Below are 19,529 nucleotides of genomic sequence, written 5' to 3'. Positions count from 1 at the left end.
ATCCATGTTGTTGCAAATAACAGAATTTTATTCTTTTTTTACTGTAAATAATATTCCATTGTGTATACATACTATCTTTTTAAAATTCATTTATCTGTTGATGAAGGTGATGGATATACTAGTTCCCCAAATTTGATCATTACACATTATATGCTTGTATCAAAACATCACATGTACCCCATACATATGGACAACTATTATGTATCCAAAAATTTAAAATAAAAAAGTATATTAGTCTTATTAATATACTTTGAACTAACAATACATTATGAATATTCCCACATTTCATTAAATTTTCTGCAAGACTATGATTTTCAGTAGCTTCAAAACATTTCATCATATAGATAAAATCATAATGCCCTCAAATAATTCCTACAATTGGAATAACTAGGTTGCCTATAGTTATTCATCACTGTAAACGACAGTATGTTCAATAGGTATGTTTGTTTTTAATGGCTGTGTTGTATTCCACTGTGTAGTTGTATCATCAATTCCTTATGTTTTAATATCTCAGTTCTAAATGTTTAGCTTAAGCAATCCTGTCATTGTTGGAGCAAATCTTTGCTCTTTGCCTGTTTGATTTTTTTTGTTTGTTTGTTTGTTTGTTTTGAGAGACAGAGTCTGGCTTGTTTGCCCAGGCTGGAGTGCAGTGGAGCAATCATGGCTTACTGTGGCCTGGACCTCTGAAGTTCAAGCAATTTTCTCCCCTCAGCCTCCCAAGCAGCTGGGAGCACAAGTGTGCACCCCCACACTCAGCTAATTTTTTTTATTATTTGTAGGGATGGGGTCTTGCTATGTTGCATAGGCTGGTCTCAAACTCCTTGGCTGAAGTGATCCTCCTGCTTGACTTCTCAAAGTGCTGGGATTACAGGTGTGAGTCACTGTGCCCAGCCTTTTGATTATTTTTGACATATTTGATAATTAGTTGTTTCAAGTTTGTCAGTCCACATATTTAATTTTGTTGTATGCTCTGGAAGCCTATGGAAGAAGCATGAAGTCCTGAAATCCTTTAAGAGTTAAAATTTAGTTACAGATATGACAATTACATGCAAAATAGTAATGAATATTTTATTCCAGTATATTATTAAATGCTAAATTATATGGTTATGATTAAGTGCTTTGATGTGTAGTTTGGAGGGTAGCATGATAGTGAGGTCCAGTATAGTCAGGGGTGCTTCAAGGATGAAATGCAGTTTGATCTGAACTTTGAAGAGCGGGTTGGGTTCAAAGTTAAGGAAGATATAGGGCATTCCAGGGGAAAGCAACAAGACACACAAATGCCCAAAGATTTGAGTAATTTTGATATATTCAATACCATGAGATGGCTACTTAAATTTAAAGCCATTTGAATGCCATTGGTGAACCATCAGTTTTGAATAGTAACTTCTGAAAAATCTGAACAATATTCGTTTTAATGTTTTTTGTTTTTAATATTTACTTTATCTCTTCAAATACTGGAAAACATCTTAATTAAAATTCTATTTTTGCCGATATGGAAAAACTGCTTTTTCTTTCCTAGAAACTTTTTCTAATAACTATTTTTGATACTACTGTGTACTTTTTCAATCATCTACACATATTTTACATATTGTGTTTAATTGATTTCCAGTGAAATGCTCTTTAGATTATCTGAATCAACATGGCTTTTTTCCTTTATTTGGGACTAGGATACTTTTAAATCATATTTTGAAAATTTTCTTCACTGTTAGGTTTGGTGGGGCTGCTGAAGTTAGGGGTTGAAAGAAAAGAAATTTATAGTACATTTCCTTTGAATAAACTAATGTTTACTAACTCAGTGCCCACATGTTCTTCTTTTTTGTGATGTTCATGTGTTTAGTCGTGTTAAACAGTGGTTGTTTTCAAAAGAAAAATCAAAAGAAGAGAAATAATCTCCTTTATGTTATTTTGAAGAATCACAACCAGCTTTAAAAATTTTTTACACAATTATATTCACATTGTAATATTAAGGCAAAACACATTTATATCATTGTTCTTTAGGGAGCAGTATTTCTTAAAGTGGGATCAGGACCTGTGCATCGGAATCAGTTGGGTTGTTCATCAGTATTCAAATTCCTTGGCCCCCTCATTGTGGAAGGTGGTATGGGATGAAGGAATCTGCATTTTAACACACTTGCCAGATAATTCTACACATTGAAGCTTGAGAACCACTACTTTAGGGAAATATTGTCTCAAGTCTCTTCACAGCAGTGCTGCAGTGACATGCATTAAGACTTGATAGATATTATCATTGGACATTGGTTTAGACCATTCTCACACTGCTATAAAGAAATACCTGAGACTGGGTAATTTATAAAGAAAAGAGGTTTAATAGCTCATGGTTCTGCAGGCTGTACAGGAAGCATGGCTGGGGAGGCCTCAGGAAATTTACAATCATGGCGGAAAGCAAAGGGGAAGCAGGCGCATCTTATGTGGCTGGAGCAGGAGGAAGAGAGAGAGTGGGGAGGTCTACACACTTTTTAACAACCAGATCTCATGAGAACTCACTCATTATCATAAGCAAGGGGAAAGTCTGCCTCCATGATTTAATCACCACCCACCAAGCCTCTCCTCCAACATTGGGAATTACAATTCAACTTGAGATTTGGGCAGGGACACAAATCTAAGCCATATCAGATATTTTGCCTCAATTGATGTGTCATTGGACCTGTTCTGTTCTTAAGAAATTACAAAATAATCTGGGCTTTTTTTCTTAATAAAATTTACTTTAAAGTTACATAGCCTCCTTAAAAAAACCAGAGATTCTTTGTCAAGATTTTTTTTTAAAGTTGGCATTATTGACTTCATATTAGACAGTAACCTATTATAAGTTTATTAATTTACGTGCCCCTTTTACTCAGATGAATTGCTTACAGACTTCCACTTATGAAAGGTTAATATTTGTTAGGTGTTAGAAAGTTAAAAAGTGATGGCTGGAAATGGTAAATTTTGCCCCCTCCCATTGTTGTTAAGCATGGTATAACATAACACGCGACTTAAGCCGTTTGTTTTTATTTACTGCCTATTTTTACAATTTGGTGACATATTGCAAGTAATTCTTGTGGCTTTTGTGGGGAAATCATGACTCTCTAGCCTCTTGCTCTCTGCTGCTTGGTAGTGTTGAGCCACTTTGCACAGATTATGGGGCTAAGAACAGTGTGGGTCATCACTGCAATAAGGAACCCATGGTTATTGTCTGTGGTGCAGGATGGCAGTGACCACATTCCCATGAGTAAACAACAAGTAACATAGTCCAACAAGTCCATAACAATGCGTAAATAAGATTGTTTGGCATTAGTCCTGATAGAAAAAAAATGGTACTCTTTGGAGCCTAAATGCTCTCAGGACAATCTAAAGTTGTTACTAGGCTGGAGAGCCTCTCTTAGCATCTTTCAATTTCAGTTTGGCAGTGATGGGAAAATCTCCTTTATTATAGTCAATTGTGAGTCATTTGTAGGTAACCACTTCCACATATTACTGTTTTGACTTGTTCTTCAATCCCTTAGGTTGAGTCAGGGTTTTTTTTTTTTTTTTTGGCCATAATGTGACAATAATTGGCATCTGAAATAAAAGCAACTGAAGTATGATTGATCAAATGGTGATTATTAATTCATAAAAGCCTTGGTCAGATGTCTAATACGGACTTTATTAAGAGGTTTAAATGGCTTTGACAAATATATCTCTGCATTTTCATTCACACAAGTGGAGAATGAACTGGACATTCCAAGGAGCCACATACTAGCCATGACTGGCATCTAAAAGAAGGGGTTCCTCTGCATCACTTCACAGAATTCTTGTAAACATTAAGTGAGATAAAACATCTTTCCTGGAGGAAGGAAGGGATCTAGAAGAAAGGTAAAGAAGAGCTCTCTTTCCTGCCCTGCCCCATTTATTTTATCCTTTTCTGTTTATTTCAGCATAAATATATTGAGCTGCTCTATTCTGGGCATTGTACTAGCAATGGGTATGCAGAAAAAATTAAGATTTATCTCAATGAAAAGATTCAGCTTAATTGAGATATAATATATGTACCATATAATTTACCCACTTAATGTATACAATTCAATGGTTTTTAATATATTCCCAGGTTTCACAAGATTTATCTTAGTTGGAGACTCATGAACATTTTTTACTTCATAATTCCTCAGGTCCAGAAGGAAGACAAATCTCTTTAGTCCCATTCCCAAATCTGTTCCTTCCTTCAAGAAATAGTATCTACCAGTTATTAAACACCACCTCAGTATTATGAGCCCAGCACTATGCCGTGGTGCCTTACAAATATAATCTCATTATGTGCTTTCAATAACCCTGAAAATCCATTGTATCCCACCTTATATACAATGACAATAATCCGAAATACCTAGCATTTGTTGAGTACAATTATTATGTCATTTAATATATGTAGAAATTTACTGCTGTAGATATCATTTTCCTTTTCCCCCCTTTTCCCATTAGTTATTAACTGTGTAACTTTTGCCCCATGCTTGTCCTCAAGTTCTTGATTCTTACTGGGCTTCCTTGTGAAGGAAAGATATAGAGGAGCAATTAGGATTTTCAGGAGTCTGATGGTGATTAAAAGACTGGCTGATTTACTTTATACACTTTTTTATATAAATATAGGGAGAGAGAATACCCTTGTGCAAACAGATAAAAGGTGAATGCAAGGCTGCTGAAGGGCTATGGCAAAATAATAGCTGTTTCCAACCCTCAGTTTCAGTTAAAAGAAATATAAGAATATTTTATTTCTATGAACTTTTAGGTGTTTGTTTTCCACCTACGATTTGCTTTTTCCTTTTCAGCTGATCCATCTAAACCTCTTCACAGTTAGCTAACTTCTCTATACTATGAAGTAATTCCTGCACAAATATTTCTATAATAAGCCTGTCCTTTTTTTTAAGAAAAATATTTCTCATCTGAGGATAAACTTGTCCTTTTGTAAAATAAAAAAAAAAAGACGTTTATAAATCATGCTGCTATAAAGACACATTAACACGTATGTTTATTGCGGCACTATTCACAATAGCAAAGACTTGGAACCAACCCAAATGTCCATCAATGATAGACTGGATTAAGAACAGGTGGCACATATACACAATGAAATACTATGCCGCCATAAAAAAGGATGAGTTCATGTCCTTTGTAGGGACATGGATGAAGCTGGAAACCATCATTCTCAGCAAACTATCGCAAGGACAAAAAACCAAACGCCGCATGTTATCACTCGTAGGTGGGAACACTTGGACACAAGAAGGGGAACATCACACACCAGGGCCTGTTGTGGGGTGGGGGGAGGGATAGCATTAGGAGATATACCCAATGTAAATGACGAGTTAATGGGTGCAGCACACCAACATGCCACATGTATACATATGTGAAAAACCTGCACGTTGTGCACATGTACCCTAGAACTTAAAGTATAATAATAATAACTAAAAAAAGACATTTTTAAATGCCACATGAAAAATGTGCTGAAGTATCAGTGGTAAGGGTAAGGAATAGAAAGAGACTTCTGTAACTTTGGACAGCTGTGTAGCTAGAAAAACCAAAACAAAACAGTTTTCTCCAAACCCCAGCACACAAAAATATTCATGTTGGCTAACTTTCTGGCACTGATTTAGATAATTTCTGTATTTTCTGGTGAACAATGAACATTGGCTACTGAAGCTAACTTTTCTACTTGTTCTAAACTAAAGGACAGTGTTTTTTATGATGTACTCCTTTTTATGTTGTGGGAAGAGTGTTGATACTAAAAGTGTCCAATTAAAAGAAAAACTTTACCAAGCCTAATAATTAGTCATTGAATCTGAACTAATTTGAATGAAAGGTGTAAATGAGTAAGGGGTTGAAATGCTTGTTTTTGAAGCACTTAAACTGCTTTATATTTAAAAAGCTAAACAGTTTTAATCTGCAACTTCACATTAGTTCCTTTGACAATTGCTTCTTTAATGTTTTGTTTAATCGGTGTTGTTCAATCAGAATTGTATTTTTTATTTGTCCTACTAAGTTACTTGTATTTTATTTTAATTAATATATTTTATTTGTCCTACTAAGCATCATATACTGTCCTCAGTTTGGGATTTTTTTCTCCAGTAGCATGCAAAGAAACGTATATTCTAATGGTTTTATTTTATTTTATTTTTCTAGGAATCAGAGAATAATAAGTTATGTTCCCTATATTCCTTCCGAAATACCTCTACCTCACCACATAAGCCTGACGAAGGGAGTCGGGACCGTGAGATAATGACCAGTGTTACTTTTGGAACCCCAGAGCGCCGCAAAGGGAGTCTTGCCGATGTGGTGGACACACTGAAACAGAAGAAGCTTGAGGAAATGACTCGGACTGAACAAGAGGGTATGTGTGGACTTCACTGTTGGGCTCTGTTTTTTTTCTTCTAAAGATTCCAGGCCTTAAAAAAAAAAAAAAAGTGGGATTTCAAGGGTCAGAGAAGTGCATAATTGTCACTAGCTAGGAAAAAGTTATTCAGAGGTTACTATGGTGATGGCAGATTTTGATCCATTAGGAGTGTTAAACAGATAGCTCCGTTTTTCTAAAACTTTGTGCATTTTATTTGGTTCTTAAGATAACAAATTAGGATTTTAAACTGACCATAATCCTACTCTGGAAAAAGGTAACAAGAGAATTTTCCTAACTGCAACTTTATTTTTCATTTTTTCTCCCCTATTTCCTTTTGGTGGATAGTATTTCTTTATAAAAATGTCAACTGTTTAAAAAGCAAAATTAAAAATATTTCTCTTCATTTTTATAAATATATTATTTATCTCCTAACATTGTAGAATGGAGAGTTAGAGGGCTTCAAACATTGTTAAAACTGAAAGTATATGAGTGACTTCTTTGATACATGACATCTCTTGCAACATCCCACATCTACCTTCTCTACTCTGTACAAGAGTTCACTCAGGTTCGTGTACATCCTAGAAAACAAATGAAAGAAGACTCTCCAATAATATTTTTAAACAAAGTAAATCAAGTCTAAGTGATGGTTATACTATGTTGCACTTTTGGTTTTTATGTACAGATTTTAGGCCTTAAAATGTAGAGTAATTAATAGTTCTGGATTTATTACTAGCATTGCAAGTTAAATTGAGACTTTTGTTTTTTACTATAGACAAATTGGGATTTGATATTAGGGAATTTTTCATGTAACTTAATTTTATTCCTTTGAGGGCTCAAAAACTTAAAAGATTCCAATTAATTTTCGTAGAAGTCTTTCTAAAATATATTGCATGCTTCCCTGTTTTACTAATCAGGTAATATGACACAAAATGTATATATTTTTTGATGACCTAGGGTCATAATACAGTAGACTAGGAACTTCAGTACCCTTCAAACAATTATGTCACCCTGGGTAAATTCTTCAATCTACTCGAGCCACAAAATTTAAAATTTGGTTACTGAGTTTGCAACTTAAACATTTTGAGGATTAATAATAATAATGAATATGTCTTGAATTAACTGTAAACTATATGAATATTAACTATAAACTTATACATTTGGCTTATTGTATTATATTATATATAACATATATAACTGATATATTATAAATGTCAATTATTTTACTGTGCTATAATAATGCCCCTAGTGATCATTGAGATTATTAGCACTTTGATTTTATGGTTATTTTTCAATTATGAAACTTAAGAGTTTTTGTGTCTGCTTGATATATATATCTTTTTGTATATATGTATTTTTTTGGTGTGTGTGTTGGTTTCTCCTTCAATATCAGGTTGCAGGCTATTATTTCTTGCTTAGTTGCAAATAATTTCTAATTTTCTCCTATTTACCTATAGATTATAAAATTAGATAATCAGGAAATTCTGGACTGTATTTGAAATATGAACAAGTATGTTCTGGAGGTGTTGCTGAGAGATTCTGGGAAATACATATGATCTTTAGTGCATGAACTACATGCTGACACTTTTGGCTTCTGAGGCTTTGTTGTCCACATTTTTGGCTATGTTCTGAATAATGGGGATTGCCAGATAATTATCTACTGAATAAGTAAGATCACTAGATTACTTTTAATTGTGATCCACCAAAAGATGGTTTCAGTTCTATAAGTAAGTGGTTTTCAAAATACTTTGGAGGAGTCTTTAATGTAAAAATAAAGGCATTGATTGATGATGATTTTTTTCCTGAACTACTAGGGAATTTTAAATCATTTTTTCCTTGCAAGTAATGGTTAATTTTCTCTTCGTCCTCTTTGTTACCATGTGTTACAGTTGATTTTGTATAAGAGAGACACTTACAGAATGAGACAGTAGTCCTTTAAGAGTCATTTATTACTGTATTTCTACTAGTAATGAATGTTTTCATACTCTACAGATTTTTTTTTGCAATATGTATGTTTTAGACATCAGAAATTCAGGCATCTTTAGTATATATTAATGTATATAATATAAATATATTAAATGCAGATATTAAATGACCAAAAACATGCTCATCAAATTTACCTATCTCACAAATCTGGAACAGTGAATATAACGGATTAAAGAAACAAAACTTAAAATGTTTTGACAAACTGAAACTATGAACTTAAAAATAACCTACCAAGATAAAATTTAATAGATCTTATTATCAAGTTCAGAAGTTGTGACCCAAATCCCAGCTGCACAAGTAATTACTGAAGAAAATTCAAATAACAGCCAGATGAATGATTAAAAAAAAAAACCTATGAGTTTTAAGTGACAGAAAATGCAATGGGGTCAGCATAGTGAATATTGCCAAAAAAATTGCCAGTGCTATTTCAGTCAGCATCACTAGAAGTACAGTATGATGCATTCAAGAGTTGGTAGTCCCACTAAACTCACTGCTCAATAGAATGTTTGTGAAGTATTGTGTTGAGTTCAGAATTACCACACTTTAAGAGGAACTCAAAGGCATTGGGATATTCTCAGAGAACAATTGGTATAATCGCAGAGATGAAATTATATAAGAAGAAGAATGGTTGAAGGAATTAGTAATACTAACCCCAGAGAAAAGCAAATCAAGGATGACATGATGGTGTCTTTAAAGATTCAAGTCACATGGAGGAGGGATTGGGTTTATACTGTCTAGCTTCCTGGGGATAGAATACAGATCAGTGACAAGAAGTTATGAGGAACCTGATTATGGCTGATAAGACCAACTAGCTAACAGCTGTAGCTGTCTATATGGAATATTCTCCCTTGGAAGATAGTAACTGATCTATCCTTAGAGATATGCAGCAATCTCTATTGTCATTTTAATAGAGGTGTTGTAGAGGACAGAAGTTTGATCTTTTTTCCAATGCCAAGACTATGAATTTTTATGAACATTCTTATAAAATATTCTACAGTTTATGGTATATCTTTTTTTTTACAGCACTTTTCAAGGACTACATAGTATTGTGATTATTTTTCTACATATTCTTCTTCTGTGAAATGCATTTTATTAAAACTCAAGGATTCTTAATTTTTCTTTCTGTGAATCCCTTTGATAGTCTAGTGAAGCCTACAGATCTTTTTTTAAAAATTATTTTAAATGCATAAGGTAAAATACACAGATTACAGAGAAAATGAATCATATTAAAACAGTAAATAGGCCAGGCACGGTGGCTCACTTTGGGAGGCTGAGGCGGGCAGCTCACGAGGTCAGGAGATCAAGACCATCCTGGCCAACATGGTGAAACCTCATCTCTACTAAAAATACAAAAATTAGCCAGGCATGGTGGCAAGTACCTATAGTCCCAGCTACTTGGGAGGCTGAGGCAGAAGAATTGCTTGAACCCGGGAGGCAGAGGCTGCAGTGAGCTGAGATCATGCCACTGCACTTCAGCCTGGGTGACAGAGCGAGACTCTGTCTCAAAACAAACAAACAAACAAACAACCAGTAAATAATTTAAAACATTTGTGATATGGTAGAATATGCTATTCCACTAATGCATTAAGAAAACAAGATCTTATAGAGGGCCTAACAGTATAATAATTTTGAAATAGTGATAAGCGTAAAAGATATTTTGAGATATCTCCAAGTATAATGTAATATAAAATATCAATTGTGATACTATTGGTGACAATGTCATAGGAACCACAAATACAGTATGGTTTGTTACTTGCATCCATAATTTAAGGAAATGTAAATTTTCAATACAGTCTAGTGAAAAATAATTTTTCCACAAAAGTTTACAGACCCCTTGAATTCTATCTATGTCTGCTGGAGTCTGTGGACCACCAGTTAAGAATCCCTATGCTAGATGATATGGTACACCCATAATGAATAAAACAATGGTCTCTAACTTTTAATAATTCATATTCCAGTAAGAGATATAAGGCATATAAAAATGAACTCTAATTCAGTTTCTAGTATATAATAAATTCCATAGAGCTATATAGATAAAATATTATGGGAATTTACTAGATAGAAAAATTACTTCTGCCTTGGAAGCCATTGGAAGGTTCTGTAGGGAAATGGGTCTTAGTTGGTCTTGGAGAATGAAAGGATTTATATAGACAGAAATTGAGAGGAGAAACATTTCAGGCAGAAAGAATAGGCAGAGGACTTTAAAACGGCCAATAGTTCAGGTTCTAAATTAAAAAAAGAAGATGCATATGGGATATAAGACTGAAAAAGTAGGTTGTGTTCAGATCATGGAGGCCCTTTGACTCTTGCCTAAGGAGTTTGAACTTTATATTGAAGGCAATGGAGGAACCACTGACTGTTTTTTAGCACAATAAGTTGGTGGATTAGAGCTTTCTTTCAGGAAAGTTAATCTGGCTGCACTGTTTAGGATGAATGGGAGCAGGGAGAGACATTAAGGAAATTGTTTCAAGCTAGAGATAATGAGGGTCTGCTGAACGAAGGCAGCAGAAATGAGGAAGGAAGGGGGATGCATATGGAAAAGATATTAAGAGATAGAATTGTTAAGAGTTAATGTTTAAGTGTAGAGACCAAGACAGAAGAATGGTTCAAAGAGTGCTCAGAATTTTTAAACTCTGGGCAAATAGGAACGTGGTAATACAATTAAAAAAAAAAAAAAAGGAGGAACATGTTTTGGACATGGGAGCAATGAGAATTTTTTTATTCTGAGTTTGGTATCTTGAGTTTGAATCCTAATTTTGATTATCTACTTGGAGCATAGTATAGAATAGCATAATGGGAGAACAGAAATAATTATAGAAAGGGTCATTAAAAAGTTTAGGATAGATTTCTGCTTCTCAAATAATTATATTCTAGGTCTAAGGAGGTATAACAGCTCCACCAATATTTGCCTGACATTGATCCTTTAAAGTTCCAGGTCCATCTCCTCATTTGGGATGTATTATCTCATTGGACACCTAAAAGTCTTCAAATGCATTACCCACCTCTCCCTCACATCTACTTCATGGTTTGAGGGCCATATTTCATGATTAGCTGAGAGACAAGCCTGTGTGATTGACATGATAAATGATTACCTTTCTTGCATTATTCTTGTTCTGGAGAATATTTTTACTCTTTATCAGACTAAATACCTCTCCCTCATTTGCCCTCATCTACAAGAACTGATCTGTAAAAAGTTCATTATGGTCCTTTTAAAAACTATATTTGCATGATGAAACAAAAACTCTCCAGGCAGATGCTTTGATCAACCAAATTGTCCAGTGTTTAATCTGCTATTCCTTCAAGAAATGCCCTCTCCTGAGCAGTGATTTGACCAGATTGTAAAACATTGTTGAACAAGGGTGCTACATCTGAAGTGCCCCCTCTGAAACTGAGACTTATGGGAAGATAGGCAAAGTTTCTGTCTTTTGTAAATTTAACTTTGATTTAGTATTATAGATTGGTAAATTGGTATGTAGGTAGGTAGACAGATCCATAGATGGATTGAATGATTGAATGTCAGAAACCACCTTTTAAAACATTGGTAGATAGAGTGTACAGGAAAGCTTTGATTAATAGATTCAGGTTAAGATGCTTCCAAGGCTAAAATTCTTCAGCTATAATAAAATGATGAATTTTAGTTATCCTTGTATCACCCGTCTTGTTGCCAATATAGCTGGGCTCTAACATAAGCGACAGAAAATGAATACTTTAAAAAGGACTTCTATATCTAAATACATATATTTAATCAGAGAGTCCTTTGGCTTCTGAAAATAAGTTGTCTAATGAGAATTTCACTTGAGCAGCTGTGACTGAGGAGGTCAACAGGCACTGCCTAGGAGAATATGGCCCAGCTGGTTAAATCTGGTTGTTGTCGTGATTTAAATGGTCAAGTGCTGCTTGTAATCCAGGACCGTCTGTTTGTAAAGGGAAGAGTGAGTGCTTCAGCATAATGTACAGCTGTTTTAATCTCTCTTTAATAATAGTGCTTCAGCCACTATCATGTCTTGTGTATCATACTACTAAGTATATGATCCTAGGCCGAGGGCCCTGGTTTGAGTCAGGTTCTGGAGTCATGTGAGATTGCAGGAAAAGGGATACAATGATAAAACTCTCAACTGTCTGACAAAATAAAACTAAATTCCTGACTCTATGGCTCTTTTTAAAAACTTATTCTTTAGGTAATAATTATTGTGATTAGGAGAGAGTGACAAAGCTTGTAGTTAGGTAGAAATATTAGAATAAATGAACTCTCTTTGTTAGAGCCATAAATGTAATGGAAAGTATGCAGGCTTTGATACAATTCCATAGGACATACATTGGTCAGAAATTAGAGTATTTGCCCAGTGGAATTGTGTGCTTTCTGCTATCATGGTAATAAAAGTATGTGGATTCATTTTACTGTGCATGTAAGAAGGGACAGCAGCATTTGAGCTTTGAATTCCTGGTGGGACAGGCTTTCCAATGGATTATGCAGCTGTTTCCCAGCACAAGAATGAGCATGTGTTTATGTGTATATTTGATGGATTATTATCATTGTTCACATCTCTAAACAATCATTTGTATTTCTACATATATTTTCACTGAAATATATTTACTTTGCTTATAAGTTGTGTTTTGCTCCTCTGATAGACTTTGCTCTACTAAAAGAGATATATGGTATAGTTTAAACAATGAGGAAATTCATTTTTAAAAGTCATGTCTTTGAGCTAGATCTGAGTTTGAATCTAAGTTTTAATATTTAGAGAGACAGTATAGCCTACTGAGTGTAGACTCTGGAGCTAGGTTGCCTGTGTTTGAATTTCACTTCAGCATTTCCTAGATGGATGACATAGAGCATGTTACTTGATCTCTCTGCTTCAGTTTCTCAACCAAAAAATGAGTATCTTTACAGTGTTATAAGGATCAAGGTTTTCATGAAGATGAATAATTAGTTAAGGCAACTAAAGCATTTAGAACATTGCCAGCTCAAAGTAGGTGCTCAATAAATGTAGCCAGCATTATTTCCTGGTTGTGTGACTTTGGACAAATTAATCTCTTTGTGCTTCAGTTCCCTCATCTGTAAATCTGTATGAATGATACCTGCCTTGCAGGGTTATTGTGAGGATTTGACATATTAATATATACAATATTTAGCTTCTGTAATTATAACTATTACTAGTATTGCTATTATAACTACTATTGCTGTTATTATTTGAAGAAACTTTTAAAAAAGAAAAATATTCTAGGAATCTCATTCTGTACCACAGACAGAATCATAGGAAATGTCCCATGGTGTTAAGGGATTTAGCATTTGGCAGCAATGATGTTCTTGTGTTCTGGAAGAGCAATTCAGTTTAACTCTCTTTTCAGGCTATTTGGAAAAGCTGATACTAAAGTTTCCCCACTGAAAGCCAATCATCCCTTCTGAAAAATATGTGGAATGTGATGGTGTCAGTGAGAGAGGTTGGTAAAGCCTTGGATGAGGTTTTTAGATAGTAGCCAGTTAAGAGCAATGTGTTTCTGTTAAAGCAAAAAATCTATTAAAAGCCCATGTTTTTTTTTTAATTAACATTCACACCCTGTGAGAACATCACAATAATTTTTAAGGCAAAATTTGTGGATATTAGGTTTTTACCACTATTCTGATTGAAAGTTATATTGGTGAAGCACTTATAATATCCCAGATTTAAGCCTTGTTTTATGTTTCTCATTAAAAGGAAAATTTGGAAAGGTTTCGGGTTTTTGCATAAGAAACACTTTAAGTATTCATTAAAACACGCAAAATTGTTATTTCAAATAAATTGGAAATTTCAAGTCATTTAAATGCTGAAGTTTCCCAGGACCACTCATACTTTTGGTGCAGAAGCAATTGGGTATTCAGAACAATGCTGATACAACTTCATTTAAATTCATTTTTTCTTCTCTTTAAAATCTTTCCTCCCAATAATATTTGTGTCCTTGCTCCTGTTTTAAAAAATTTGTATCATATTCATAGTAAATACTTACCTAGTACCAGATAGTTTAAATAAACAAGTATTTTCTGAAAGTTTTGTACAATGATATTTAGGGATTATATTGAGGAGCTAGAACTATTGGTTTTTGAATTATGAAAAGAATTATGTATAGTCTATTTTCGTGTTAAGTATATTTGCATTCTATTTTTTTTTGAAACTGGTCTTCCTCTCATATTACCTTAAAAAACTTAAAATGAGCCAGAATTCTGTGAACTCCAGACCTTCTGGGCAACTCTTCGTTATTTCTATTTGCTATATGTTTTGCAACCTCCATTTACAGTTTGGGTAATATATTATTTGGTTGAATCTTTTTCTTAACTTCAATTTGTGTGTCTCTGCCTTGAAAATATGCCTCAGATTTCTTGCTCATTTCTATCTCCTCAGATTTAAAAATTCATTTGAAGATTCTTTCTCTAAGAATCTGGGGAACAGATGCAGGCAATTGTTTCTGATTTTTCCTGTTATTGAACTGTGGAGCTAGAAGGTGCTCTCCTGGCATTTTGTTGTTTAGAAAGAGGATGCAGCTTTCTGATGGTTTTATGAAATAAGTTATAGTCTCATATGATTTTGAGCTTGTGGAGGTTGAGTGGATCATTAGCATTTTGCATTTTTCTATTGAAAATTCATTAGACTGACTTCTCCAGAATTTATTCTGGGAGTCTCAGGAAATAATAGGGGACAGTTTTGGGATCTGTATTCTTTCTCCTTGTACAATATATATGCAATATCAAAAGAAAAAATGAACAGAAAAGGAAGTGGTAAATGTAAACATTTATTTATTATGTAATATTTGATATGTATATTATAAACCATAAAGGTAAAACAAACACTTGTGAACTCAGCATCCAACTAAATAAAAATTTCTAATACTATTGAATCTACTTATGTTTTCTTCACCTGTCCAATCTTTGTTTTTTTATCTACATTTTTGCCAGAACTTTGTTAATCATTATCTGCCTTTTTTGTTTTAAAATAGTTTCCAATCGGTCGCTAAATAATGATTGTTTAGCCTTGTTTTCAAACTTCATAAAAATGATGTCATACTGTAACCTCTTGTGACTTGCTTTTTATTCTTATATTCTATCATCAGTTTTGCTGTGTGAACTTTCATTCATTTTCTCTTTTGTGTAATCTTCCATATACTATTCCATGCTATGCTATATAGCAGTATATTCTCCTGTTTATTGTTTCTGGACACTTGGACTTTTTCCAGTTTTCTGCTGGTGCAAACAATAACATATGAAGATTCTTGCACCTGTCTTCTGATGCACATGTGAACAAGTTTCTTCTCTAGGGCATTTCCCCAGGAGTGGAATTGATATTGACACATTTTTGTGTTCTTTTTCCACTCTCTTGGAAAACATTACACAAAGAAGTTGCTGCTGCAATATGTGTGTGTGTGTGCACGCACGTGCATGCATGCGCCTGTGTTAGAATTCCTGAAAGCTTTAACTGTCTATACCTTTTGGTTCCACCTTCCTCAAAATGTCTAGTACAGGCTTTTCTTCATCACTGAGCTTTTCAGAAGCTCAGCAAGAGCCTTTGATGGACCCTTCACTGCAATTTTCCTTTTTCCTTTTGTTGTATCTGAATACAACAGGCTGAATGTCTTTAGCCCTCCTTTCAACTAGGAGCACAAGAATATCGTCGTTCTTCTACTGGACTGTGATTACTAGGTTTGTTAGGAAACACTTTTTTCCCTTTTGATCCTCTTTATTGATGTTTCCAGCACAGGGTGTGGTTTTAGAATTAGAGTAGTTCCTCATCTCTAATTGCATCAGGTTTACAATAATTTTTACTTAAATACTTACTTCAAATGCAAAATTACAAACCTATTAATTATTGCCACTGTTCTAGCCAACCATTTATATTGAAATAGACATTTTTCTGGCCAAACAGTCGACATTAGCTGGAAACCTTCACCTCTCTCTCAGAATGTTTAACTTGAGAATCCTTACAGATATTGGCTTGGGATTGATGTGCATTCTTATCCTAACTCTTTTTAACTTATTAGGTTGTGTCTAATAATTAATTAATTGATCTAAGCACTAGTTTCTTAATTTATAAAATGAGGATGTTGGTCTAGATAAGCATTAAAGGACAATTTGTAAAATTCTATGCCATTTTGATTTTCTTTTACAGTTTGTATCCAAATTTTAGAGTTTACTATCATTACTTTTCTCTTTTAAACTATTTTCAGTTCAAACTGAATAAATCTCATGATTCATTTTCTTTCATTATGCTTGAAACTGTCCTTTTCTATTTCCAATTTCTTCTTTCTGATGTTAGAATTTTTACAAAGATAGAGATAAAAGCTTCTATCCAATTTTGATATCTGAAACTGTCATTGTCCAGTGAAGCACTTACGGACAAAGCCATGGCTTCAAGGCTGTGGCTTAAAGCTGAATATGTGTGGTGCTCAGACCTATCGTAGCTTTCTTAGTTGATGTCTTGAGTTTAAGTATAACTGAGTAGCTGTACCTAGAACTGAGAGAACAGACAAGTACTCTCACAATGAAGTAATAGAATATATGCCATCCGCTAGCATTGGGAGTGCAGAAATTAGAAGACTGTGGATTCCCCTAATTGCTCTCAAATAATGAATTGAAAATGAGTAAATACAAATAGGTGGCTAGAAAAAAATTGATGAAGGTATAATGAAGAACAACTGTGAAAATATGACAAAATATTGAATTATTTGCAACAGCACCATTACAGCGGCAACAACAGCAGCAGAATTATTATGCTAATATATATACTTTTTGAATGACAGTAACCTATAGTCAAAGGGCAGTTTTTAAAGAGTGGCTAACAAACTGTGTGCACTGGGATTCCATTTCACTCCAGAATGCCTTTACTAGCTTAACTGGAGCTTTCTAGCTTATCCCCCAGAAATATCTCTTATCTTGAACATTTTGCTTATGTTATGGACAGGGGAGAGATGGAAAATTTAAGAATTAAAGCATAAGCCACATGTTTTGGAACTATTTTTCTTTGATTTCAAGTAGAAGAGGTAGACAGGAAACTGTCTTATGTGCCCAATGTACATAGTCCTAAAAATTATTCCTTGGTTTTAATTTAACTCTTAAGCCTTGACCCTGATTAATAGCAGAAAGTCTGGTCTCACTTCTAGGTAAATCAGGAACTTCAGTATTTAACTTTAGTCATTTAGAATTATGCCCCTTTTGCTTCTTATTGGTGTTATCTAATATCCAGAGAGTTTAGGCATTTTATTGGCATTGGAGCATTGGTATCTGGCTAATGATATCAATTTCTATTATGCCTAGAATAACATTCATTGCTTAAAATCCTAACATATTACTCTGGCTTTCAAGCCCCATTTTATATTACTTTACTCTTCTCTGCCATGGACGACTCCCCTCCTCCTTAAACATGTCTTAGGACCTTTGCACTTGCGCAAACATATAACTTGGACATTCCTTAGTTATATTAGACACACTGCACATAATTAGAATTTGGTTCCTGGAGTTCTGTTGTAATCTTTCTCTAGTGAGCATTGTGATTAAGAAATTCGAGGATGTAGGCTGAGCGTAGTGGCTCATGCCTGTAAGCCCAGCACTTTGGGAGGCTGAGGCGGGTGGATCACGCGGTCAGGAGATCGAGACCATCCTGACCAACATGGTGAAACCCCGTCTCTACTAAATATACAAAAATTAGCCGGGCATGGTGGCATGTACCTGTAGTCTCAGCTACTCAGGAGGCTGAGGCAGGAGAATTGCTTGAACTGGGGAGGTGGAGGCTGCAGTGAACCAAGATCGTGCCACTGCACTCTAGCCTGGGTGACAGAGCGAGAATCTGTCTCAGGAAAAAAAAAAAAAGAAAAAAAAAAAAAAAGAAATTTGAGGATGTAACAATCTCAGGACAAGATTTTTATCTGTTGAGTCAGCACAGTGCTGAAGTTGATTAGTTATTTAGTCCAACATACTTCAAGCTTAGTCATTATCCCTCCTATCCAGAATAACTTTGTATTCTCTCCGTTTATTGAAATTTTCCATTTATCCATTTTCCGGATCATACCTAATCTTCTACTGACTGGCACTTGTGAATGTCTCCTCCTCTAAAATTATTAATACTCAAACCTGTACACCACTGCATTTATCAATAAATTATAATCCTAATTATGCTGTTTGCTCTTTTTTAAATTGAAATTTTTGTTGAGACAATTGTAGATTTACATGAAGCTATAGGAAATAATACAGAGAGATTCTATGTACCTTTTGCCCGGTTTCCCCCAGCGGTAATATTTTAGAAAACTGTTGTATAATAGCACAACCAGGTTATTGACATTGAAACAATTCACTGATGTTCCTCTTGTCTCTCCATTTGTACTACATTATTGTACTCAGTTGTGTGTGGGGGTGTGTATTAAGTTCTATATATTTTTGTCACCTATTTAGGTTCATGTATCCACTACAACAGTCAAATGCTGAACAGTTTTGATATCATAAGAATTCCTTGTGTTGCTCTTTTGTAACCACACCTACCCTGCTTCAATGCCAGCATCCCTCACCTTCTATACCAAACCCCTGGCAACTACTAATATGTTCTTTACTTCTAACATTTTGCCATCTTAAAGATGTTATATAAATGGAATTATATAGTATGTAGCTTTTTAGAATTTACTTAAAAAAAAAAACTCAGCTTACTTCCCTGGAGATTCATCCAATCCAATTAATGGGTGTCAATACAAACAAAATTTTAAGAAGTTCATACTTAAAAATTTGCTAAGTGTATTCCATGGTATGCATCATATGTATAAATCACATATGTTTAACTATTTACTTGTTGAAGAACATCTGTGCAGATTCCAGTTTTTGACTATTACAAATAAACTTGCTATGAACATTTGTGTACAGGGTTTTGTAACATAAATTTTCATTTATTTGGAATTAGTACCCAAGAGTACAATTGCTGGCTATATTGTACGTTGGATTTTATAAGAAACTGCCACACTGTATTTCAGAGTAGCTGTACCATTTTACATTGCCACCCACAATGTATGAGTGATCCAGCATCTCTGCATCTTGGTCAACATTTGGTTTTGTCACTTTTGTTTTAACTGTTCTTATAGGTGTGTACTGATATCTTATTGTAGGGTTAATTAGCATTTATGCTATGGCTAATGATGTTGAACATTATTTCACACGTTTGTTTGCCATATATGTATCCTTGTAGGTAAA

The 19,529-nt window shown here is 34.3% G+C and overlaps 1 protein-coding gene across 6 annotated transcripts in view; it reads left to right on the top strand.

Moving 5' to 3' along the window:
* The window catches only part of SOX6 (SRY-box transcription factor 6), a 772,029-nt gene that overhangs the window by 413,683 nt on the left and 338,817 nt on the right, over nt 1-19,529 (top strand). For all 6 annotated transcript variants that reach the window (NM_001367872.1, NM_033326.3, NM_001145811.2 and 3 more), the window contains one exon: nt 6,142-6,349. In NM_001367872.1, coding sequence (NP_001354801.1) covers nt 6,142-6,349 — 208 coding nt within the window. The remainder of the gene's footprint in view (nt 1-6,141; nt 6,350-19,529) is intronic.

Source organism: Homo sapiens, chromosome 11, assembly GCF_000001405.40.
Source record: "Homo sapiens chromosome 11, GRCh38.p14 Primary Assembly".
Lineage (NCBI taxonomy): Eukaryota > Metazoa > Chordata > Mammalia > Primates > Hominidae > Homo > Homo sapiens.
This window is presented reverse-complemented; position numbering and strand designations above follow the sequence as displayed.